Here is a 25,895-nt window from a genome sequence, read left to right as displayed (position 1 = left end):
TGATTTTTATTTTCTTTTAATTCTGTCTTTTTCTTCTATGCTTGCTTTAGATTTTAAAAACTGAACTAAGGCAGAATTTTCTTGATTGGATAGATCTAAAAGCAGGGGAGCCTTTAGTCTTCAATCTGAATGAGGAAAACAGCCAGTAGTCTCTGAATGTGAATGCTGCCAAGATTCTGATGATTGGTGTGCTCATAGTTATCTGACACAGGGTTTGTTGAGTAAAACTAGACAACTTTACAGAAGAAACTAAAGACCAAAATTCCCTTCCATCTATTCAAAATTTATATTGAAGTTCATTCAATATAACTAAAGCTAATATTGATGAGTATTTAAAGTCAGGTGCTGTTTTCAGTACTTCAGATCTAATTACTTAATTCTCAAAGCAATTTTATGAACAGTACTAGGAACATAGCAGACATTATGTAGATACAGCTAGTAAATGCTGTATATTTAGTGCAGATAGTAAAATAGCAGTAAAATTATAATAATGGGACTGAACACACAATCCCTGCTTTGTCAGAGCTTATCATCTCTTACAGGAGACAGACATCAAGCAGGTGATTACAAATAAATGTAACATTACAATTCTGGTAAGTGTTGTGAAGAAGGACAGGTATTTGGTGATAGGAATATCATTGAGAAATAATTGCAGTCATTTAGGGGAAAACGTAGAAGAGTACCATTAGTTGAGGTTTTTGAAAACACCTTTATTGATACGTAATTCCCATATCATACAGTTTACTCATTTAAAGTATACAATTCAGTGGTTTTTACTATGTTCACAGATGTGTATAATTGTTCGACAGGTGGTTTTAGAACATTTTCATCAGAAAGAACCTGTAGCCTTTAGCTATTCCTCTTGTCCTTCCATTTGCCTTCCTCTTCTGCCCTGTGTTGATTTGTTTTTAAACAAATTATTGTGTACATAGTCAAACAAAAAATTAGTTTGACTAATTTTGAGTGTTAATAAGCGCCACTTCTCTGTTGCTAATTCCTTCTCATTCCTAGGTCACTTCCTGGAGAGAATAATTTTTAATTTTATTTGGTTTAGGTCATGCCACAGTAATGAGATGCCACTATTCTTAAAATTTGTACTAATATGTATTTTAGTGGAAAAGAAAAATTATTTTAATTTTTTAAAACTTTAATAGACATGTTTTCCTACTTTGAGTAGGTGATAATTAAGAGCACTTCATTTAAACCACTTAGAATACATCATTTAAAATGTTTATATTTTTTCTTCGCAGAGTTAAAATTCATATAGTAACAAAGCAAAGGTAGGCATATGGCTTCCCAAAATACTAGTTTAATTCGTCGGTTAAATGCATGGATCATAGTAGACAAGTTATTTCTAGTCTATAACCAGTTAATAATTATAAAATCATTGCCATTTCTAAAGTGAAATAGCAGCTAATGTTTAATAAGCGTTCAGTATGTTGTAGGCACTGTGCTACATGTTTTCCTGTGTTCTCTCACTGAGTTCTCTATAGTCTATGAAGGAGGGACTACTATTATGTCTGTTTTGTTTAAAGCGGAACTGACATGGTGAAAAAGTTTGTGGAGAAAAGTCAAATCACTTGCTCAAGATACCAAGTGAATAAAATACTCATTTGCTGGCTGTTGACTAGAACCCATGATGCTTCACATCAATAATTTTCAAACTTTAGTGTGCATCAGAATTAACTGGATGGCCTTTGCTAAACACCTTCAGTAGGTCTGGGGTAGGACTCAATAATTTGCTTATCTATGTTCTCAGGTGACACTAATGCTGTTCTAGTAACCACGCTGGACTTAATCAGTGTTTTTAAAACTGAATTGTAACCTGTTAATGGATCTGTGAATCAGTTTAATGGGTTGCACCAACATTTTGAAAGTAAAATGATAAAACATGAGAGTATAACATAGTATATCATGTCATGATATGAAACTGTTTCAGGTGTTTGCAAACAGCTATGTACTCAATCACATACTTTTAGAATGGGGACTCAGGCAGAATAGTATGACAGCCTATGCTGTATTTACTCTTGAGGGTGCAGTCTTAGTGATTTGGAGCACAGACTAAAGACAGAATGCCTGAGCATTATTTTACTGTCTAGTAAGTACTTTCTATTATAGTTTTAGCAAAGGACATGCTTCACATTTCTACTTAATTTTATAATTGATTTTAATTGCTTTGTAATACTTTGATTCTGTTTATGCAGTATTTTAATGTGTTTTTTTCTAGAGATTAGATGGATCAATAAAAGGAGAACTGAGGAAACAAGCTCTAGATCATTTTAATGCTGAGGGATCAGAGGTATGTATTAGTGCTTTTAAAATTATAAATAATTTTGATTTAGTATCAGTATATTACATTATTATATTCAGACATTTTTAATCTTCATATCTAGTTTGATAAAAAAAGAGTGGTGTTAGCCACCTTTGATTAGCAAATGAGGTTTTAAAGTCACTATTCTAGTTTAAACCTAAGGATTTTATCTTTGAGACAGAGTCTCACTCTGTGGCCCAGGCTGGAGTGCAGTGGCACAATCTCAACTCACTGCAACCTCTGCCTCCCAGGTTCAAGCTATTCTCCTGCCTCAGCCTCACAAGTAGCTGGGATTACAGGCGCGTGCCACTGTGCCCAGCTAGTTTTTGTAGTTTTAGTAGAGATGGGGCTTCACCATGTTGGCTAGGCCGGTCTTGAACTCCTGACCTCAGGTGATCCACCTGCCTCAGCCTCCCAAAGTGCTAGGATTACAGGCATGAAGCCACCGCGCCCAGCCAAGAATTTTACTCTTTATTATCAATAATGTTTCAGCATGGAACAGTTATTTTAATTTGCTTCAAAATAAATTAGCCAGATTGGGCACAGTAGCTCACCCCTGTAATCCCAGCACTTTGGGAGGCCAATGCAGGAGAATCGCTTCAGACCAGGAGTTTGAGACCACCCTGGGAAACAGTGAGACTGCTGTCTGTACAAAAAAAAATAAAAATAAAAAGTAAAAAAAATAAACTGGGCATAGTGGCACTCGGTTGTAGTCCCAGTTACTTGGGAGGCTGAGTTGAGTGGATCACTTAGCTCAGGAGTTTGAGGCTGCGGTGAGCCATGATCATGTCACTAGACTCTAGCCCAGGCAATAGAGTGAGACTCTGTCTCAAAAAAAAAAAAAGGGAAAGAAAAAACCCAAAAACAACAAAGTAGCCCACTTTCCTTTAAAAAAAATTTTTTTTATTTCCGTGGATTTTTGGGAAACAGGTGATATTTGGTTAAATGAGTAAGCTCTGTAGTGGTGGTTTGTGAGATTTTGGTGCACCCTTCACCTGAGCAGTATACACTGAACCAAATTTGTAGTCTTTTATCGCTCACCCCCTCCTACCCTTTCCCTCTGAGTCCCCAGAGTCCTTTGTATCATTCTTATTACTTTGCATCCTCATAGCTTAGTTCCCTCTTACAAGTGAGAACATACAATGTTTGGTTTTCCATTCCTGAGTTACTTCACTCAGAATAGTAGTCTCCAGGCTGGGCGTGGTGGCTCACGCTTGTAATCCCAGCACTTTGGGAGGCTGAGACGGGCGGATCATGAGGTCAGGAGATCGAGACCATTCTGGCTAACACAGTGAAACCCCATCTCTACTAAAAATACAAAAAAATTAGCTGGGCGTAGTGGCGGGCGCCTGTAGTCCCAGCTACTCGGGAGGCTGAAGCAGGAGAATGGTGTGAACCCGGGAGGCGGAGCTTGCAGTGAACCGAGATCGCGCCACTGCACTCCAGCCTGGGTGACAGAGCGAGACTCCGTCTCAAAAAAAAAAAAACAAAAAACAAAGAGTTAGAGACCAGCCTGGCCAACATGGTGAAACCGCATCTCTACTAAAAATACAAAAATTAGCTGGGTGTGGTAGTGCCTGCCTGTAATCCCAGCTACTCGGGAGGCTGAGGCAGGAGAATTGCTTGAACCTAGGAGGTGGAGGTTGCAGTGAGCCAAGATAAAAAGAGTGAGACTCTGTCAAAAAAAAAAAAAAAAAAAAAAAATATATATATATATATATATATATATATATATATATTTAGTCTCCAATCCCATCTAGGTTGCTGCAAATGCCATTATTTCATTCTTCTTTATGGCTGAGTAGTTTTCCACTGTGTATGTATACCACAGTTTATCTTCTTGTTGATTGATGGGCGTTTGGGCTGGTTCCACATTGTTGCAGTTGCAAATTGTGCTGCTGTAATCGTGTGTACAAGTATCTTTTTCATGTAATGACTTTTTTGCTCTGGGCAGATACTCAGTAGTGGGATTCCTGGGATCAAGTGGTAGTTCTACTTTTAGTTCCTTTAAGGAATTTCCACGCTGTTTTCCATAGAGTTCTTTTTTTGGTATATGCCTTTTATTTTTTAAGGAAATAAAATTTACAGTTAGAGTTGAAGTGTCATTCCTTTCCTATCCCGTTTTCTTTCTTTTTCACCAGAAGTAAACACTGTATTGAATTTGGTGTTAATAACATATATATTTGATTTTGGAGTCTTTTTGTTGATTGGTCTTGCTAGATGTTTATTAGTTTTAAAAACTGCCTTTCTGTTTAATTAGTACCATACTGCTTACGTTCAGAAAATCAATTGAAAAATTTTTCATTTTGATTATTCAATTTCTTACAGGATTTTTGCTTTTTGCTGTCCACAAGAGCTGGAGGTCTAGGGATTAATTTAGCCTCTGCTGACACTGTTGTTATATTTGATTCCGATTGGAATCCACAGAATGATCTTCAGGCACAGGCTAGAGCCCATCGAATTGGGCAAAAGAAACAGGTATTTTTAATTTTAATTTATATTATATTGCTGTTTTAGAATTCTTTTTTTTTTTTTGGAAGTGATTTCAGTTTATCCTCTAGAGGATAAGATCACTGTAACAGTCATACTACTGTTTAACCGATAGGATACTGAGGAGCTTGGTTTACCAAAATCACCTGGAGAGTCTGACAGAATTGAGATAACTATGCATATATAGGATCATGTATTCTGTTTTGATCCCGTATTCTAGTCGTAACTATAAAATGCAGTGTTTTTCATTTTATAATAAAAACTTTAAAACGTCTTTACTTGCTTATTTTAACTTGAAAGGGAGTTTGAGTAGCATATGCTACCTTTCTGTTAGTCTATATTTTGTCCATGTGCTTACAAGATTCTCCACATGTAAACGTGACCCCATTTTATAATTGTAACAACATACCCTTAAATGGTGGTACTGAACCTTTACCTAGAGAAATAGGGAAAATTTACTGCAGAATCTTTGACCTAGAGAAATAGGGAAAATTTACTACACCAATTCTTTTCAATTTTGGAGAGTTTGTTTTATGGTGGGTTTCTTATTAACTTGGGGAGTAGTTCATAGAATTTTGCATTATATAGAGTGATGAAACATTAGAATCAAGGCAACGAGTATAAGAAGGCTATCAGAAGTTTACATGCCCCCCCCCCATTTTCCCCAGCTAAATCATAACATAAAAATTACTGTCATTCCTTTAAAAAAAAATAAGCAAATGCAATCTCCTTATCAAAATATTAAGAAGGAAGGAAGGATATAGTTTCAAAATAGTCCCTTAAGTTGAGGAACTCTAGCTTTAAACATGTTTTTTAAATTTTCATTTTGCTTTTAACCAGTGAAAACTTCATATAGAATGAGCTTCAATTTGTGTGCCAGTGTTTAGGCACTTGAGGTTAGCAAAACAAATCCTTTATACTGCAATTTGTTTCCTCATGTGTATTTTTACAGGTGAATATTTATCGTCTAGTTACAAAGGGATCAGTTGAAGAAGATATTCTTGAAAGGGCGAAAAAGAAGATGGTTTTAGATCATCTTGTAATTCAAAGAATGGACACAACTGGGAAGACAGTACTACATACAGGTTCTGCCCCATCAAGGTGGTTACTTGATTATTAAAAAAATGTCATTTTAGAGTCAGTAAACTCATATTTTTGATATGTTACATCACTGTAGATCATTGAGGAAATGTATTCAGAGTTGTACTTTTTATATTTTGGAAGACTTTGGACTAATTTCTAGTTAGAAGACATACTTCAAATACCTGGTTTCATCGCTACAGATTTGTAATTTTAGGGGTAATCTCTTTCACTTCTATGCTTCAAGTTCCTTATTTTAAAATAAATATACTGCACTAGGCAACATAGTGAAACCCCACCTCTGCAAAAAATAAAAAACTTAGCTGGGCATGGTGACACACAACTGTAGTCCCAGCTACTCAGGAGGCTGAGGTGGGAGGATCAGTTGAGCCCGGGAGGCGGAGGTTGCAGTGAGCTAAGATTGTGCCAGTGCACTTCAGCCTGGGTGACAGAAGGAGACACTGTCTCCAAAAAAAAAAAAAAGGATTCTAATACTTGATTTGTCTAACTTCTTCATGTAACTGTTGTAAAGGTGAAAATGTCAGTAATTAATAAAAGTGCTGTGTAACTGTTATATTTTTAACTGTTAATGTTAAGCATTTTTGTTTTTCCTGTTTTAGTTCTACTCCTTTCAATAAAGAAGAGTTATCAGCCATTTTAAAGTTTGGTGCTGAAGAACTTTTTAAGGAACCTGAAGGAGAAGAACAAGAGCCCCAGGTAAAAAAAAAAAAAAAAAAAAAAAAGGCCTGCCTCAGAATATGTGTCATATATTTGACAGGATGAAAGGATTCAAGTATATTTAAATATTGTCTTTTTAATTATAGGAAATGGATATAGATGAAATCTTGAAGAGAGCTGAAACTCATGAAAATGAACCAGGTCCTTTAACTGTAGGAGATGAATTGCTTTCCCAGTTCAAGGTAGATTTAAACAAAATTTTCCTTGTAATTACATAAATTGAGAGGAATTGAGTTATGTCATTTAGTGGTTTGTTAATCTTTCTTTAAGCATAATCAGGAAGATTGCTGTGTTATGTAAAAACTACTCTCTCTTGTTCAGACAAACCAGTAGCAAACTGATTTGAAAGAGACCAAACCCATTTATGAAGTTACATTTAGTTGGGTGGAAAGAGCTGTTGTTTCCTAATTAGCAACTAGAATAGTGTTTGGCAAATAGCATGTCCTTAAATACTTAGGTAAATAAATGAATCAGTGTGATCTCTTACTTAGATTTCCATGACTGAAAGCTTTCAGCTGATATTTTTTTGAAGCAGTTTTTGACATTAACTTATCACAAATAAGAAAACTCAAGTAAATCAGTCAAAGTAAGCAATAAGCTACTATATATTGATACTTAATATCCCTGGTTTGTTGAGGGTCAATGAGTTGAAAGGAGTCCTAAAACAACGTAAGTCAACTGACCTCATGGAGTAAGTTAAGTGCCATTTGTTTGAAGAAACAGGTTTCTCTACATCTTAGCTGTTTTCTCTGAACTGTGGTTTTTAAAGATCAATTCATTTCATGTGTTCATTTGACAAATATTTATGGAACACCTACAGTGTACCCCACACAGTGAATAAAAAACTTTTATAATTTTAATGAATCATTCTGACTACTTTGTGGTTGATTGACTGTAGTGAGGAAAGAGCTATAGCAGGGGGAGATAAGACAGAATGTTGAGTAATCCTGGTTAAGAGGTGAAGGTTTCTGGAATCACAGGCGTGAGCCACTTCGCCCGGCTGTGATAGTTAGCCTTAATGGGTGCTTTCTGTATACCAGACCTTGCATAGTACCTTAAATGTGCTATCTTATGTAATCCTCACAGAAATTAGTGTGCTCTCAAAGAGCTCTATGTCTCTGCCAGTAGCTCTTTAGATAGTGTTTTTGTGACCATAAAAATGATATTAGATTGTTCTACAATACTTGATAGGTGGACTGGTCTGAGAATTTCTGCAGATTATTTAGCATGTTAATAGTATAAATTACTTTTTTGTTGTTCTGTTAACTGCTCTTAGTTCTGTGATGCTACTAATTTTGTTGAGCAGTAGGGCAAAATAAAATCATTCCTAGAGGATTATTAGATGTCATTTGGTTTGATCTGCTTTGCCCTAATGAAGAAATGAATCTAGGTTGTTTAGAAGTTATATTTGGTTTAGTCCACAGCCATGTTCATTATCCTAAGGAGCATGCCAGTTCTTCCCCTTAAAAAAAACTTTTAGGGATCAATTTTTCTGTAACAGTTACTCTTAAAATTCTGAAATTTATCAGGTTGCCAACTTCTCAAATATGGATGAGGATGACATTGAGTTGGAACCTGAAAGAAATTCAAAGAATTGGGAGGAAATTATTCCAGAAGATCAAAGAAGACGATTAGAAGAAGAAGAAAGACAAAAGGAACTTGAAGAAATTTATATGCTCCCAAGAATGAGAAATTGTGCAAAACAGGTGATTTTGCAATTTTAAAGATATTTCTATAAAGTAAGAGTATTCAACCTGGGCTGATTTTGTTTGTTTCTACGAGGTATCAGTCCATAGTTTTCTTTTCTTGTAATGGCCTTGATTTGATAATGTTTGCCTCATGAAATGAGTTGAGAAGTGTTTCTTCCTCTTTTATTCATCTTTTCAAAGAACCTGCTCCTGGTTTCATTGATTTTTGTGTGTGTGTGTGTTTTTAATTTCATGAGTTTCCACAATTTATTATTTCTTCCTTTCTGCTTTTGATTTAATTTGCTGTTTTCTTTCTTTTCTTTTCTTTTTTCTTTGGTGACAGCATCTTGCTCTATTGCCAAGGCTGGAGTGCAGTGGCACAATTCTGGCTCACTGCAACCTTAACCTCCCGGCCTCAGATGATCCTCCCACTTCAGCCTCCCAAATAGCTGGGACTACAGGTGTGTCCCACCACACCCAGCTGATTTTTGTATTCTTTTTGTAGAGATGGAGTTTTACCATGTTGTCCAGGCTGGTCTGGAACTTCTGGGCTTAAGTGATCCATCTGCCTTGGCCTACCAAAATGTTGGGACTATAGCACGAGCCACTGCACCTGGCCTCTTTTATTCAGTTTCTTAAGGTGCAAGCTTAGATATAGAAATGTAATCTCTCTTTTCTAATATCGGCATTTAATGCTACAAATTTTTCTTTAAGCGTTACTTTTTCTGAATCTTCCAAATCTATTTTTATATTTTCCTTAATTTAAAAACATTTTAAAATTTCCCATATGACTTATCTTTGACCCACAGGTTTTTTTAGAAGTATGTTTTAAAATGTTCAGATATTTAGGAAATTTTTCAACTATGTTTGTTAATCATTGGTAGTTTAATTCTGTCATGTTCAGAAAGCATATTTTATGTAATTTTAATTTTTAAAAATTTGTTGGTGTTTATTCAGTGGCCTAAGTAAACAAATACCAAAATTTTGAATAACTGTAATAGTGCCATGCCAAGCTATATTGCCAAAAAGGAAAAAAATTCTAAGACTAATTTCTTTTTCTAGTATCCTTTGGTTTTTAGGATATAAGATTTTTTGTCTTGATTGCTGAGTTTTTTCGTGCTTCCTTAAATTTTAAGCCTGGGGCAAATGAGGGGCTTGCCCCACTCTAGTCCCTGCCCTGCTACCATTCCCCGAAGGGTAGAGCTTTTTGTTTTTTCTTTTCTTGCAACCGTATTAGATCTTATTCTGTTCCCTCAGTTGAGCAGATGGGAAAGGTCTGGCAAGGCTTCCTTCCTGTTTCCACAAAGGTGACTGCTCACTTTCTCCAAGGCTGTACCATGGAGGAAAGTTTTCTCCAGTCTTCCTTCTCATGAGCACCTGGTGGAAGTTCGTGGCAAAGTGCTTGAGAGTGGGTGCAGGTCCTCCGAGTTTTGGCTGTTAGGTCCTGTGATCTCACAATAGCGTACACTCAGCCATTAGCAGATTTTAGCTGATCTCCTCTTACCTGCTTGTATGGTACTTGATTTCTGTCACCTGTGTTCTTCACAAATGAGCCACTGTTCAAGTCCTCTTTTTCTCTTTTTGTAATCTCCTGTATATCCTTACATTTAGATGTGTAGGTTGCCGTGTGATTTCATCTCTCTGATGTTAAACAGAAAAATTATGATTTTGTACATCAGATTTGTTGTTAGAGTAGGAGCAGTGCCCCTACCAAGTTTCTACATAACAGCCAGAAGTAGAGCCAAAAATAATGCTTTTGGCCTGAAAGTAACCATGCATGTTATTTCTTGTTTCTGTTTATTTCTCCAAACCCCTAAGTAGTTTTGTTTTAGAGTGTGTGAGAATGCAGCATTGCATTAGATCTTGTGAAAGGATCAAGGGAGGTTAGAAAAAAAAGGTCTAAATACCATTTTTTACTTCATTTAACTTTCAGCATATTAGAGGTTCGGAATATGTGCCAAGGCTTTGGAAAAACTCCCAAGACTTACAGAATATATGTTTTGATGTATCTTATTAAAATTAATGGATGTTACAAATAGCCTTTTATGTGGGTTCAACTGGCATTTTTTTCTTTCAAATATCTGATTTGTCTAGTTAGAATAGCAATATGTGGATATTAAGCAGAACGGAAAAAAAGACAGCTAATCAATCTGTTCATCCAGAGATAGGACTGATAACATTATCACAGTGTACATCATTCTAATTTTTAAAAATTCATTATCATTTGCCAAATTAAGTTGGAGTTGTATTAATTTGGAACTTTTTCTTCTTTTTGACAGTATGTCATGAATGTTAATTATTCTACAACCCCATTTTTAATGGTGTCTCAGCATTCTATCGTATAGATTTGTCTGGTCTCTCTTTGATGAATATTTAGATTATTTGCTTTTTGTTTTTGAGACAGGATCTCACTGTGTTGCTCAGGCTGAAATGCCATGGTATGGTCATGGCTCACTGCAGCCTCAGCTTCCTGGGGTCAAATGATCCTCCCACCTCAGCCTCTCATGTAGCTGGAACTACGGGTGCATGCTACAAAAATACCTGGCTAATATTTTAAATTTTTGGTAGAGACAAGGTCTCACTATGTTGCCTAAGCTGGTCTTGAACTCCTGGGCTCAAGTTATCTTCCTGCCTTGGCCTCCCAGTCATGCTGGGATTACAGGCATGAGCTGCTGCACTCAGCCACATTTTTCTTTTATGATGTAAATTACTTTATTGATCAATGTTTCTTCACAGTTCTGATCTCCTCAGGAAAAATGCCTAGAGGTTATGTTGCTGCGTCAGTAGAATAACTTTTGGAGGCTTTTGATATAATGTCTGATTACCTTTTAAATCAAAATATCCACCAGAGGTATATATTTTTCTCTGTTTGCTCTTTAATTTTGTTTATGGAATGTTTTTGATACATTTAATAACATTTTTAAGATTCCGACCATCTTTTATAATGGTTTTTGCTCTTAAGATACAAGCTGTTTTTACACTAAGGTTGGGTAAATATTTTCCAATTCCAGATTAGTTTCAATGGAAGTGAAGGGAGGCGCAGTAGAAGTAGGAGATACTCTGGATCTGATAGTGATTCCATCTCAGAAGGGAAAAGGCCAAAGAAACGTGGAAGACCACGGACTATTCCTCGGGAGAATATTAAAGGATTTAGTGATGCAGAAATTAGGCGGTAAGGTGTTATAAGACAATCGCTTCAACTTGGTTTTAGTAGAGTGTGAAACTAAAATGTAAAAACGCCGTAATTTTCAAAAATTGTGATGAAGTTTTAGAAGAGGCAAATCTGTTATTTGAGTAGGAATTGGGTGGTTCTGCTTTTGGGTATTTGTTATAACTGAACAAAACAAGTTTGGTGTCTAATCTTTGCATGTTATTTATTTATCGCTAAACTGCTTAGACTACACAATTTTTTTTATTAATTTGACTCAATAGTGATCCTTTCGAATAATAAAAGTAGTTTTGATGCATTTGATTTTTAAAAATTCTCACGGTGTTTATGACTCCCAAAGTTACTAATTTTTTGTGGAAATTCTGTATTTTTCTAGTTTCTTAACAACAGGGTAATTTCCTTTTTGAAAGTAACCCTGTTAAAAGCATTTCTGATATGTTCAAGTAGGAATTGAGATGAGGTAAGATTGGCCAGGCAGGATATATTTATTGTAGTGTCCATTCAGAATATGTTTATATATACACATTTATTTAAGAGGAATGGGATAACAGCTTACTTTTGTTTATGTAATAGTTTTGGATATGACATTTATTAAAATCTTATTCAGTTTTGTATTTTGAAAGTTTCTTTGAAGCCATTGTAACTTTTTTCTTTTAAAATCTTAGACCTGACAAAATTCTTCCTTATTCTTTCTACCAGAAAATTTAATACATTGTTAGTCTTTTTAAAAGGCACTTTCATGACCACCTGAATTGCTGTACTTTTCGTCTTTAGTTGAGGAAGCATTTCGACTTCTACTTTACCTGGATATTTTTCCTCATTTATTAACCACTTACGTAGCTTTCTTAAGTAAAATTTTAATTTTGCATTGTTGGTGTAATACACATCTGAATTAAAGCTATTCAGTGAATTTTTATCAGCACTTGGAATGTGAGGAAGTGTAATATAATTGATAATTATTGTGGAGACACTTCCTGTGGTAGCTTCAGACCTTCTTTTGGTCTTATGAAAATAATGAAGTAATTTTTAAAACAAAATTTAGCTTCTATTGTTTTATTTATACTGATATCTAAACATCATCTTGGATGTTAATTTACCTTGTCTTACCTGGTGTATCTTAATGTTTTAACATTTTTGTTTTTAGCATAGTTTATTCATTCTTCTTAGATAACAGTGCCTTGAATTTTTATACTAACAAGTATTTTCTTATATCTGTAAATATCAGAAATACGTATAATTTTAGTGAATACTGAAGCTCACATTTACCAAACAATTATTTTCTCTTAGGTTTATCAAGAGCTATAAGAAATTTGGTGGTCCTCTGGAAAGGTAAATACGTTTATTATTCTCATAGAATAATGGAATGTGTTACATGCTGTCACCTTTATTTATTTGTATTAACATTCAGTTTAGCTACTTTGTTAAATTTGCTTTTAATCGGCATTTACAAAATTAATGTACAAGGGAAATTTCAGATTGTTTTTAAAAATGTTTTTATACTGTGTTTAATTTCCAGTCTCAAATTTCTTTCCTGTAAATTATCTATACATGTTTAAATTGCACTTTTATGACGGTAAGGCACTTTTTACAATCTTTATCTCATTTTTCATCAATAACTTAAAAGTAGCACGAGCAGATTTATCCATAGAGGGGCTGAGTTGCTAACCCAGCCTTTTTTTTTTTTCTTTTTAAATGGAGTCTCTCACTGTCTCCCAGGCTGGAGTGCAGTGGCGCGATCTTGGCTCACTGTAACCTCCACCTCATGGGTTCATGTGATCCTCCTGCTTCAGCCTCTCGAGCAGCTGGGACTACAGGCGCATGCCACCACACCCAGCTAATTTTTTTTTTTTTTTTTTTTTTTTTAGTAGAGACGGGGTTTCACCATATTGGCCAGGTTGGTCTAGAACTCCTGAATTCAGGTGATCCGCCTGCCTCAGCCTCCCAAAGGCTAACCCAGCCTTTTAACCAGCTCTGCTTTCCCTAAGTAGAGATATTTTCTTAAGTTTCTCAAATTCATTCTCTTATTATACAAACTGTATTAAAATTCAAATTAAGATAGTTTTTTTGAAGTTATCAGATAATCTCAGTAATTATTGTGATTTGGATATTCTTTGCCCTTTGTTGTGGCCAACCCACTGTCTGAATATAGATCAGCAAAGACTCAAATTAGTTTATTTTTTTACTCTTAAAAAATCCCTTCAAAAATAGATATATTTTGTTTTATTTTGAGATGGCATACTTAAAATATAATGAAATACTTGCATAATTATTTTAGATGAAAAAATGTCTTGAGTATTAATCATTCATATCTATTTGGTGCACAGTAATAAAAAGTTACAGAACTTTACTCAGCTTTTGTGTTTACAATTATAAAGCTTTACCACTTCATTCTGAACATCTTAAAATTTGATCAGTTATTAAAAGGTTTTACAGAATTGGTATATAATCTTCCATTTGCTCTATAATGAATTAAACTCATTATTATTGAATATATAAATGAATTGTTTGTCTACCACATTGTCCTGGTTTTTATGTGTTTCCTGCCATTTATGTGAACAAGAATATATAGAGCATGCAGTAGAGTGATATTCAGATCTTGAAATAGAGTGAAACTTAATCTTAAATGGCACCACTTCATTTAACATATTTACCTGAAAATTGGATTATTTTGTTACAGATTAGATGCAATTGCTCGAGATGCTGAGTTAGTTGATAAGTCAGAAACAGACCTTAGACGACTGGGAGAATTGGTACATAATGGTTGCATTAAAGCATTAAAGGATAGTTCTTCAGGAACAGAACGAACAGGTAACATTAAACTGAGAGTGATTTAAAAGAGAAGTAAATGAAAGCTTCAAAATATGCTTTATTGAGCTAGATATTATATCTTAAATTATTTATTCATCAGTCTCAAAAGGTTATTTATAAAACAAAGTAAAGCTATTCTGGGTAATAGGAAATGGAGAACAGAATTGCAATTCGAAGGCAGTAGAATCTGTTTTTAATTCCCCTGACATTTTCTGTCTGGGAGGTAAGGTCAGAAATTACTGTTTTATACACACACATATGTACATTCATAGATATATGTGTATATATACACACACACAGTACAATATGTATAGTATCTATAGGTTTTTTAGTATAGATGACTGGGAAAATATAATGCAAATATACACATATGATATTGGTTTGGGACATAATTATTTTATTATTATGCTTATTTTGCTGTTCATTTACCTGAATAAAAATTATTTAGATAAAATTTAATAAGCAGACCAGGCATAGTGGCTCACACCTGTAATCCTAGCACTTTTGGAGGCTGAGATGGGAGTTTAGCTTGAACCCAGGAGTTTGAGACCAGCCTGGGCAACATTGTGAGACCCTGTCTCTAAGAAAAATGAAAACATAAAAATTAGCAGGGTGTGATTGTGCGTGCTTGTAGTCTCAGTTACTTGTGAATTGAGGTGGGAGGGTTGCTTGAGCCCAGGAGGTCAAGACTGCAGTGAGCAATGATTGCACCACTGCACTTCCAGCCTGGGCGACAGAGTGAACCCTGAGTCATCATCCTATAATTCTTTATTTAGAGGCTGACGGTATTAGTAGATTGATCCATCTTATGTAATTGGTAAAACACTTAGAGAAATACTTTTCGTGAATTTGCATCTGCAAGATTATTATCACTTGTTCATATGTAATGAAGTTCAAGGTTTTCCAGTAATCTCTTAATAATATAAATAAGGAATACTTATTGTTAAATAACATAAGTAATAGCATCAGTTGCTTGGTGTTTTGTAGAATTATGTTTTATACTTTTAAAAATACTGGTTTTTTTAAAAAAAATCAAGGTGGTAGACTCGGAAAAGTGAAGGGTCCAACATTCCGAATATCAGGAGTACAGGTGAATGCCAAACTAGTCATCTCCCATGAAGAAGAATTAATACCTTTGCACAAATCCATTCCTTCTGATCCAGAAGAAAGAAAGCAGTGAGTGATTTATTTTCTCCATTGTAAGATTTTTGTTATTCAATAATTGCAAAATGAATGTGCTGAATTTTTATGGTGTTATTGGCTAGTTTTGAAAAAAAAAAGGAAGAAATAAAGCATATTATTTTGAAGTTCTAATGACTCACGTTTTTCAAAATTAATTTTTCAGTTAAGGCAATTACAAACTTATCATTAGTTATTAACTTTGATGCCAGGTATACTATCCCATGCCACACAAAGGCAGCTCATTTTGATATAGACTGGGGCAAAGAAGATGATTCCAATTTGTTAATTGGCATCTATGAATATGGATATGGAAGCTGGGAAATGATTAAAATGGATCCTGACCTCAGTCTAACACACAAGGTATTTATCTATTTCTGATTCTGTTAACCATTCATGTTGAATTTAATTTATTCTAATTCTTGCTTTTAAATTATGTTGGAAATAATGGAAATCTGGAAACCAAGGCACTAGCTGGTTGTGTGACCTTGGTGCGTTTAGAAGATGCTTTGCATGAAAGGATCAAATTTAAATGATTTCTGAGATTTTGCGTTACTGTGAAATTATATGTTATTAAGGCATTAGGTGTATTATTTTTCAAATTACGAGGTTAAAAGTCTTATTCCATCATTAGCTTTAAAAAAATTTTTGATGCATAATAGATGTACATATTTTTGGATGCATGTGATAATTTGATACAATCATATAATATATAAAGATGCAATCAGGGTAACTGGAACATTTATCACCTTAAATATTTATCTTTAGGAACATTTAAGTGATTCTTTTCTAGCTATTTTATAATGTATAGATTATTGCTAACTGTAGTCACCCTACTCACCTATCAAACACTAGGTCTTATTTCTTCCATCTAACTATATATTTGTACCCATTCATCATTAATTTTATTATTCCAGTAAGACAAAATCCTTAAAATCTTTTATATTTATTTTTAAAAAACATCGGCATTGTAGTATTTTTGGTCATTTGGTTGCACTGTGCTAGCTGAAATCCTTTTTTTTTTTTTTTTTTTTTTTTTTTTTTGCCTAAAATGGGAAACACTGGGAGAACTTCCTTATTGTTTATCCTGTGTGTTGGGAACCTTTAGATATTGGTGCTTTGTCATTTGTTACTGTGAAGAAAAAATTAAGTAGTCTAGATTCCCCTGTAAAACTTTCCTCCCAGTGTATGCTTTAGGTCTTCTTCTAGAAGGATGACATCTTGTAGTCTAGGAATTTCTGTGTACATTATATATAAGTACACTTTTACTGAGAAGGGAAGGTGTTTAAGGATTATATAACATTTAATAGTGGATGTTAAGTACACTTTTGTATATTTGAAGGAAATTTACAACCTTATGCTTTCTATTTTCATTTTGAAAGATAATCTGAGGGTTTTTGAAGTTTAGAATTCATTCTCAGAAAAATTAAATTTTTGGCTCTGGCATACGTATAAAAAATACATTTTGCATTGAGTTTATTCCTACAAATATTAATAATTGAAACTTGTTGGTGAACTATATATATATTTAAATGGTTAAGCATTTTTTAGCCAGTACATTTCTCATGTTATTTATTAAGACAATCTGAAAAAATTTATTGCTTTTTCAGATTCTTCCAGATGATCCCGATAAAAAACCACAAGCAAAACAGTTGCAGACCCGTGCAGACTACCTCATCAAATTACTTAGTAGAGATCTTGCAAAAAAAGAAGCTCTTTCTGGTGCGGTAAGTTAAAGCCCACATGCCTAAGACCAGTTTACTTTTTAGTAAGGTAAATTTTGTTTACTTCACCATGCTAAACATCTGAAGTCAATATGAGCTTATATAAATGGATTTTTCTGTAATTAAGTAGTTTTATTTGATGTTGCCATATTTAAATTTTACCTTAAATTATCTCAGCATACATGTTAAAACTGATGAATCATAGCTTTCAGAAGTAGGATTCTGTTTTTTTTTTCTAGTTTTAGAGAGGGATAGAGAAAACTCGTTTAGCGTGCGGAGTACTTTTTGAGAAGTCAAGCCTTACATAGCCTACATGACTGTTTTACTTGGAGTCATTAGAATGCTTAAGGGACAGCGTCATAGGTTGCCAAGCTTACTGAAAAAGAAGGAAAAAGACACCAAAAAGGAGGTGATTGGAAACTTAGAGCAACTGTTAGAAGTTTACCTGTGACCATAATGTCAATAACTACCTGTGTAGCGTTAAAAATCATTCCTAATGCAGTCTCTTGTGCTATAGAATTAAGCTGAAGGCCATAATAATCTCAGAGGGTAAAAAATTTGTTTCTACTTCTCTCTGATCCTTTTTTTAAAGGAATAATAATGGCTAGTATTTATTATTTACATTAATATTATATTTGACTCATTAAGTTATATCACCTTTATTGAGTTTCTGATGTTGGTACAGCTTATTACCAATAGACTAAGGATCAGGTAGGAATATGTGTTCTAGCCCTTGGATTTAATGTTTATGAAGTTTTTAAAAATGAAATCTGTAGAATTGGTTAAAATTAAAATAATGATTTTTAGGGAAGTTCAAAGAGGAGAAAAGCAAGAGCTAAGAAGAATAAAGCAATGAAGTCTATAAAAGTGAAAGAGGAAATAAAGAGTGATTCTTCTCCTCTGCCTTCAGAGAAGTCTGATGAAGATGATGATAAAGTAAGAATGTGTTTTAGAACAACAACCTTTTCTATGGAAAGGGAATATGGCATGTTTTTGTGTACTTTACATTTAAAATTTATATTTTAGGTACCGAAGTCTGTGTGTGTGTGTGTGTGTGTGTGTGTGTGCGCGCGCACGTGCGCACGCACTTATAGTTCATAACAGTCTCAATTATAGAACAGAATTCTAACTGTCCAGTAGATATTATATAGCACTAGAGGCATAGAGCAAAGGTCCTTCCTTTTCAAACATTTGCCAATTTGATGAGCTTCTGTCTCTTTTAATTGTATTATGAACTTGAATGGGACTGGCTTACTTTAGTTTATAGGAAGGTAAACATTGCATGTATCATTATTAGGGGGATTCTGGGCTCTTTCAGAATCCACATACATGCAATCTGTAGTCATATGAAGAAAAATTAGTCGTTGTTAAAATTTGGTTAGTAATACATTGGCCATACTTGCACTTTCCAGGATGAGATCAGTTCTGTGAAACATCCAAATAAAAAAATTAAAACAGAAAGAGACAGTGAAGAAAAACCTGAGCCAGATGTTTATATAAAGAAGGAACCAGAAGAAAAGAGGGAAGCAAAAGAAAAGGAGAATAAAAAAGAACTTAAAAGGGAGATAAAAGAAAAAGAGGATAAGAAAGATATAAAGGAAAAAGATTTTAAAGAAAAAAGAGAAAACAAAGTAAAAGAAGCTATACAGAAAGAAAAAGACATAAAGGAAGAAAAGGTATGCAAATCATAATAAAAAATGTAGAAAGTAAAAACAATCAGCATATTTACATTTTAGGAGACTAAATTGCATATCAGCCCTTATTAGTCTCAATAACTGAGTTCTTCAGAAGCATGTTTGGGTATGCAGTAGAGGAGAATAGTAGGTCTGAACACTCTTTAATGCTTTACCTTCAGAGTAACATTACAGAGTAGCTTTGATTGTTTCCCCAAATAAAATTGGGGAAAAAAACAAATTAAAATAGATGAGGATATTCAATGAGAATGAGCACTTGTAGAATAAAATGAGACAGTAATTATTTTCTGGAAGTGTTAGTCATTTTGCCTTTGTTGCTATTGGGGTTTTGTTTTTGTTTTCTTTTCACTTTTTCTTTAGTTGAGTGAATCCAAGTCTGATGGTAGGGAAAGATCCAAGAAATCTTCAGTGTCAGATGCTCCAGTTCATATCACGGCAAGTGGTGAACCAGTTCCCATTTCTGAAGAATCTGAAGAGCTGGATCAGAAGACATTCAGCATTGTAAGCCTTAGACTTTCTGATTATTAGTATTAACTCATAAAACATTTAAGTTGAAGTTTGTCATTTATAGCATTTAATTTAGAACTGCATTTGAATTTATTGTAGATTGATAAAAGCAATGTATTTGAAATTTGAAGGGTGTCTTTTTTTTTTTTTTTTTTTTCTTTTTTGAGTTAGCATCTCACTGTCGCCCAGGCTGGAGTTCAGTGGTGCAGTCACGGCCCATTGCGGCTTCAACCTCCTGGGCTCAAGTGCCCCTCCTGCCTCAGCCTCTCGAGTAGCTGGGACTAGAGGCATGTGCCATATACCCAGCTAATTTTTAGTTTTTTGTAAAGATGGGGATTTTTTATGTCACCCAGGCTGGTCTCGAACTCCTTGGCGTAAAAGGGAGATAAGCCTGGGCATGGTGGCTCACACCTGTAAACCCAGCACTTTGGAAGGCCGAGGCAGTGGATCACCTGAGGTTAGGAGTTTGAGATCAACCTGGCCAACATGGTGACACTCTACTAAGAAAAAAAACAAAAATTAACTGGGTGTGTTGGCGAGCACCTGTAATCTCAGCTACTCGGGAGGCTGAGGCAGGAGAATTGCTGGAACCTGGAAGGCTGAGGTTGCTGTGAGCTGAGATTGCACCATTGCACTCCAGCCCGGGCCGACAACAGTGAGACTCTATCTCAAAAAAAAAAAAAAAAAAAAAAACAAGGAAGATAAAAGGAGGCCAAGGTGGGCCCAGGTGCTGGGATTACAGGCATGAGCTATCGCACCCAGCTGGTGTCTTAAATTTAGAAGCAACTCGGAAAGACTTTTTAATAAAGACTTTTAAGAAGAGGGGTTTAACAAGTACTTTGAGTGAATTTGTTTTCCTCCAGCTCGTATTTCAAATTTTTAAATTCCCAATGCCATTAAAAAATAAATATGTACACACACACACACACATGTGTAATAGTGCTTCTTATTTATGGTGAAGGACTAGTTTTTTTCCCAGTTTTTTGCAGACCAATATATTTTTTAAAAAATACAAGAAGAATGAAATGTTTCACTAGAAAAGTGAAATAAGAAAAAATTATGTACAAAATATGAGCCTAATGTTTTGTTAGTAGATGCAGTAGCTATAAAGTTGCATTGTCAAATTATGAGTTTCTAAACAGGCTCAGTTTTTGTACCGATGTTGTTTTGGACTGGCAATATCTCTTGTCAAATATACTGATTCTCCATGTTGTCATGCCTTTGCGTTCCTCAAAGTGAGGGAGAAACTATCTGTGCCTTTATTCTAAAGACCTTATTTACTGAAGATAATTATAATTTATGTATTTATTTATAATTTACTCAATGTATGTATTCATAATTTATTTACTGAATATAATTATATACTTATGTAATTACATAATATAACAGTATGTATGTGCTTAATAGTACTGACTCTTGAGGCAGAATGCTATTTGGTAAGTAAGTATGAAGATTAAATGAATTGGTACATGTAAAGTTTACAGATCAGTGCTGTCTTCAGAAAAGCTCAGAAATCGATAAGTGATTGTTGTAGATGTTGTTCCTAAATTCAGACATGTGAAGCAGATAAGAGTGAGACTAAAAAGTCCAATTGCAGAGCAAAACCAGGAAGAAATAATAATGTTAGAGAAAAAAGGGCTGAGTGATACGAGACCGATAATGTAGTTTGGCTTTAACTAGGACTAGGAAATGTTTCCTTACAAGCCACAACTGAAGGAAACACTTATAGTCTGATATATAGATGTGTCATGTTTATATATAGTTACAATATACACAAATTTATATATAAATATATATTCCTATATTTCCTTTTTAGAGATTTCTAGCATCTGAATCTTTTATACTAGTTGGAGCAGTTAACATACTTCAGTCACTTGTTAGACTTGGGTGTCAGCTTTATCACTAGTATTAATCAAATGCTATACTTCAAAGAGGGAAAATTTCACCTTCTAAAATTATATTTGTTTTCAACCCATTATGTCCTTCTAGATCCCCAGCTTATCCTCTTGTCCTACTTTCTCTTCTTTTGCACCGTGACTAGACAGTGTTGATTTAATGAACCCACTAATGTATTTCCTACTGATTCCACAACATGCCCTAATATAGTTCAACTATTGTTCATGCTCTTTAAATATATTGGTTTTTTACCATCCTCTTGTTCTCCCTACTTTGAGCTGTTGACATTCTTCCAGTCACTGGGAGTATTGGAGACATTCAAAGCTGCTGCAGCTCCTATCTTCCATTTTATTTATTTGAGCCATATTTTTTATCTCTGGACTTTTATTTTTATCTCCTCTGCAGGTTCACAGGCTGGAATTTCTTCTCTCTTTTTCAAGGGTAACCGTTTTTGTTTTTGTTTTTTGTTTTTGTTTTTGTTTTTTACCTACTCTGTATTGGGTGGGAGTCAGGGGAGGTGGTATTCTTTAGCTTTTTTGAAGTGAAAACATTAAACTTTTCACTGGAGCTACTTCCCCTTCTCTATGTGGTCTACTAATGAATTAGGTGAAATTGTATCTCTTGCCACCTTTTTTTCCCCCCACATTTCTTTTTTAATCTTCGGACTTTTTCATGTAACTGCTGGAATGGAAAAATTCCTGCTGTGCACAATGCATGAATTTCCTCTCCATTAATCTTAAATGATATTGTGTGTATCATGGAAATGAAGACTGGAATAGTTCTTAAACGTGGACTCTGTAGCCAGACTTTCTGGCCTGTATAGGATTTTACCTCTAAGTAAGGAATTCCATTGTATTTGGGAATAGCTCTAAGTAATTATGAAATTCAATGGCCTTTTCTAGGTCGTCACTCTCTAAACATATTTGCTTCATTTGGCACCTTGATTTTCCTTTTACTGGTTGTCTTCCTAAATGACAGTATAATTTAGCAGTCAAGAAAGAGCAGAGTCTGAGGTCAGTTAGAGCTGGGTTTGACAGATGTCATTGTATTCTAAGTTTCAGTTTCTTCTATAAAATAGATTAAATACTATTGCAAAGGACTATTGTCAGGGTCTGTTCTTATTGCTTCCATCCTACTCATACCTCAGTTTGTACTCCACATAGCAACCAGAGTAATCATGACTTAGAGGGAGAATAAAGTCACACCGTTATATTTCTGTGCCTACAACACTCCAGTGGCTTTCCATCTCATTTAGGAGAAAAGATTCTTAGCCTGAAACCAGCCTCGTAGCATCTAGTCACCTCCCATCGTTGCCGGCCACTTCTCTGACTTACTTGGTTCCAGCGACACTGGCATTCATACTTTTTTAAAAAACATGTCAAACAAGTTTTAGGACTTTCATGTTTGTTTTTTCCTCTACTTGGAATGGCTTGCTCCTTCATTTTCTTTAGGTGTCCTCTCAAACATTGCCCTTCTTTGAAATCTTGCTTATGATAAGATAGGAAGCTCCCTGCTCTTTCTTCCTTTATTTTTCTTTATCACAGTTGTTGTCATCTGACATACTATTTCTTGTTCATTTACTGGCTCTCTTATACTAGAGTCCAGGTTCCATAAAGGCAGGATCTGTTTTACTTACAGCTCTATTTCCTGCATCTGGAACAATGCCTAGAACATAGTATGTACTAAACTTACATATGTTGGATAAATTATTTTCTAACAGAATATAAACTGCCAAAGTTGAACAAAAAATAGGAAACATAAAAGCAATGAATAAACTAAAAGTTAGAAAGGAAATTAAAGATTTTCCCTTTCTTAAAGCATCAGATCTGACTGAATTCTAATTTTATTTATAATAAGAGAGGTCCTTCAAAGCAGTGGTGTGAGGATTTATTATTTTATTTTTTTGAAATAGGGTCTCACTTTTGCCTAGGCTGCAGTGCCAGTGGCATGATCACAGCTCATTACAGTCTCCTGGGTTCAAACAGTCCTCCCACCTTGACCTCCTGAGTAGCTGGGACTACAGGTGTGCGCCACCATGCTTGGCTAATTTTTTTTTTTTTTTTTTTTTTTTTTTTGGTATAGAATCAGGATCTCACTGTTGCCCAGGCTGATCTCAAACTCCTGGACTCAAGTGATCCTCCCGCCTCAGCCTCCCAAAGTGCTGGGGTTACAGGCCTGAGCCACCATGCCTGGCCCAATTTCTTAATAAATGATGTTGGATTATCTAAATGCATTGTCTGATGTTGACCCATCATCCTTATATTCCTAGAACTAAACCAGCTTGCTTTCTGTGAATATGATGTTAAATTTTTATTTGTTTTTGCATTTACAAATTTTATCTGACGGTTGCCTTGTTAGTAATATTTTTATTCTGATTTTGGCATAAGGTTATAGTGCCTATTGCTACAATAAAACATGCAATTCTTAATATGTCATCCTTTTATTAGCATGTCAGGAATGTACAGGCCAAGGAAAAAGTTACCCTTTGACCCTCTACTCCCCAACCACCCAAAATATGAAGAGCAAGCCATTATTGCCACCTTCTGTTATCACAAAGGTTTGGAAGAATACAGTTTATATATCTAGCTATATTGATTTTAATAGTTTTGCTAAAATCATTTTACCCTGTATTTAGTGGATAGTAGGGTATTAAGTTATACTCTGAAATATTTTACTATCTTTTAATAGTCTATATTTAAGACTCCTTAGAATAGTGTGCTACAATATAAAAAATAACCATTTTTGTAGAAGCTAAGTAAAATCCAAAACTTTTACTTACTCAAAGACTGATTTTAAATGATAACAGAAAGGCTTGCTCTCCTGAAGAAAATCTAAAGGGGAAAGAACCCTGATGTATAAGATTTGTGAAGTGAGATTTAATTGCTTATTTTGCTATCAAACAGTGTTATAATATTATACTCATGTAAATATCATTGAAGGAGGTAGACCTTGTTGAATTTAGGTTTTTAATACATGTGTTTATATTCTTGTTTTCTCATTTTAAAGTGTAAAGAAAGAATGAGGCCTGTTAAAGCAGCTTTGAAACAACTTGATAGGCCTGAGAAAGGCCTTTCAGAAAGAGAACAACTAGAGCATACTAGACAATGTTTAATAAAAATTGGAGACCATATCACAGAATGTCTAAAAGAGTATACAAATCCTGAACAAATTAAGCAATGGAGAAAGTAAGTGATACACTTTTCAGGAAGTGTTAAATTTATATTATATAACTGTCTTTTTTTTTTTTTGTTTTCTTTCCTGATTCTGAAGTTTAGGTAACAAGATAATTTTTAAAGAGGTAACCTACAGATGATTGTTTTAATTTTTCTCCCTTTAATGTTAAATTTTTTTATTTATGAGTGGTTACTTATGTATCATGGTATGTAACAAGTGGCATCTCTGCCTTTAAAGAAATAGTGAAAGCTGTTTCATTAAAATTCAGATTGCATTTTATTTGAAAAAGTCTTTGCAATTTACCAAATTATTATCAGTAATATCTTTTGAAGTTGGTGTTCCCACAAAGTTTATTGTTGCTTGAATTTAGCAATTTACCTCCTGGATACATGTATAAAGATGTAAAAATTAACATCCTCACGCAATGTAAAATGCAAAAAATTAGGAAAATAAAGGTAATGTAGTGCAAATTGTTCTTAAAGCTAAATTTAGCTAATCTAAAGGATTATATTAAAATTCTTCTCTACTTTTATTAGTGTAAAAATGCTTGGCTTCTATCTTTTACATTTAACTGGAACTATAAAATTTGAAAGCCTGGCAACTTCTCTTTTAAATAATGCCTTTTGCCAAGAATGGGTTATCATTTTGGAGGACCACTGAATGAAAATACTTAGTTGTATCTTCACCAATTTTTTGAATCCTTATAATTAGGGCTTAGATTTTTGAGGTTCAAAGAGTTAGAATGTCTACCTTTTCTGCTTTCTAGATGAGAAATAAGGAACATCTTATTGAAATTACACAGTGAATTTGGTTGAAAGTAAATTTAAAAATGAGCAAAGAATTAAAGAATTTGAAATAAAATTTTAAGTAAAATAAAAAAAGTTACACAGTGACTAATACAAATAGGTACCATTTCAAATTCGGTTTGTTATAAGGAAAGGGTGGGGAAACCTTTGGAAGAAGAGAGACTAATAGCCAGGAGACTTAACTTTTTCATTGTGTTCTGTCACTTTACATCCTAAGGCTGTGCTCTCACCTCACTTTTCTTTACTCAGTTGGGCAGATTACCTTTTTGGTTTTCCCCTGTTTGGTTCTCAGTTACTTTGATTTCATATTCCTTATTGTTCATTCCTGCTGCCACTCTCTCTGGTTAAACCAAATTCCCTTAAGGGGGAGATGGGGAAGGAAAGAGGGAAATATCCCATAAAGCAAAATAGCTTTTGCTGTCTTGGAGAAATTTTATTTTGATTTATTTATTTTTTTGAGATGGAATCTTACTCTGTTGCCCAGGTTGGAGTGCAGTGGCGAATCTCAGCTCGCTGCATCCTCCGCCTCCTGGGCTCAAGCTATCCTTCCACCTCAGTCTCTTTGGTAGCTGGGACTACAGGCCCACGCTACCAGGCCTGGCTAATTCTTGTATTTTTTGTAGAGATGGGG

At 34.5% G+C, this 25,895-nt stretch overlaps 1 protein-coding gene across 11 annotated transcripts in view; it reads left to right on the top strand.

Moving 5' to 3' along the window:
• CHD1 (chromodomain helicase DNA binding protein 1) overlaps positions 1-25,895 on the top strand; it is a 75,023-nt gene that overhangs the window by 41,131 nt on the left and 7,997 nt on the right. For 4 of the 11 annotated variants that reach the window (NM_001376194.2, XM_047416670.1, NM_001270.4 and 1 more), the window contains exons 18-32: positions 2,228-2,299; positions 4,640-4,789; positions 5,754-5,902; positions 6,502-6,598; positions 6,706-6,801; positions 8,149-8,325; positions 11,319-11,479; positions 12,764-12,805; positions 14,154-14,284; positions 15,322-15,460; positions 15,676-15,826; positions 17,074-17,190; positions 17,995-18,123; positions 19,242-19,382; positions 24,291-24,469. In NM_001376194.2, the coding sequence (NP_001363123.1) occupies positions 2,228-2,299; positions 4,640-4,789; positions 5,754-5,902; positions 6,502-6,598; positions 6,706-6,801; positions 8,149-8,325; positions 11,319-11,479; positions 12,764-12,805; positions 14,154-14,284; positions 15,322-15,460; positions 15,676-15,826; positions 17,074-17,190; positions 17,995-18,123; positions 19,242-19,382; positions 24,291-24,469 (1,931 nt within the window). Of the gene's footprint in view, positions 1-1,250; positions 1,281-2,227; positions 2,300-4,639; positions 4,790-5,753; positions 5,903-6,501; positions 6,599-6,705; positions 6,802-8,148; positions 8,326-11,318; positions 11,480-12,763; positions 12,806-14,153; positions 14,285-15,321; positions 15,461-15,675; positions 15,827-17,073; positions 17,191-17,994; positions 18,124-18,599; positions 18,864-19,241; positions 19,383-24,290; positions 24,470-25,895 lie in introns of those variants that run through there. The other 7 variants (XM_024454345.2, NM_001364113.3, XM_024454344.2 and 4 more) reach the window with 5 other exon arrangements.

Source organism: Homo sapiens, chromosome 5, assembly GCF_000001405.40.
Source record: "Homo sapiens chromosome 5, GRCh38.p14 Primary Assembly".
In the NCBI taxonomy this organism is placed as follows: Eukaryota; Metazoa; Chordata; class Mammalia; order Primates; family Hominidae; genus Homo; species Homo sapiens.
Note: the sequence above shows the minus strand (reverse complement) of the source record. Positions and strands in the feature narration are given on the sequence as shown.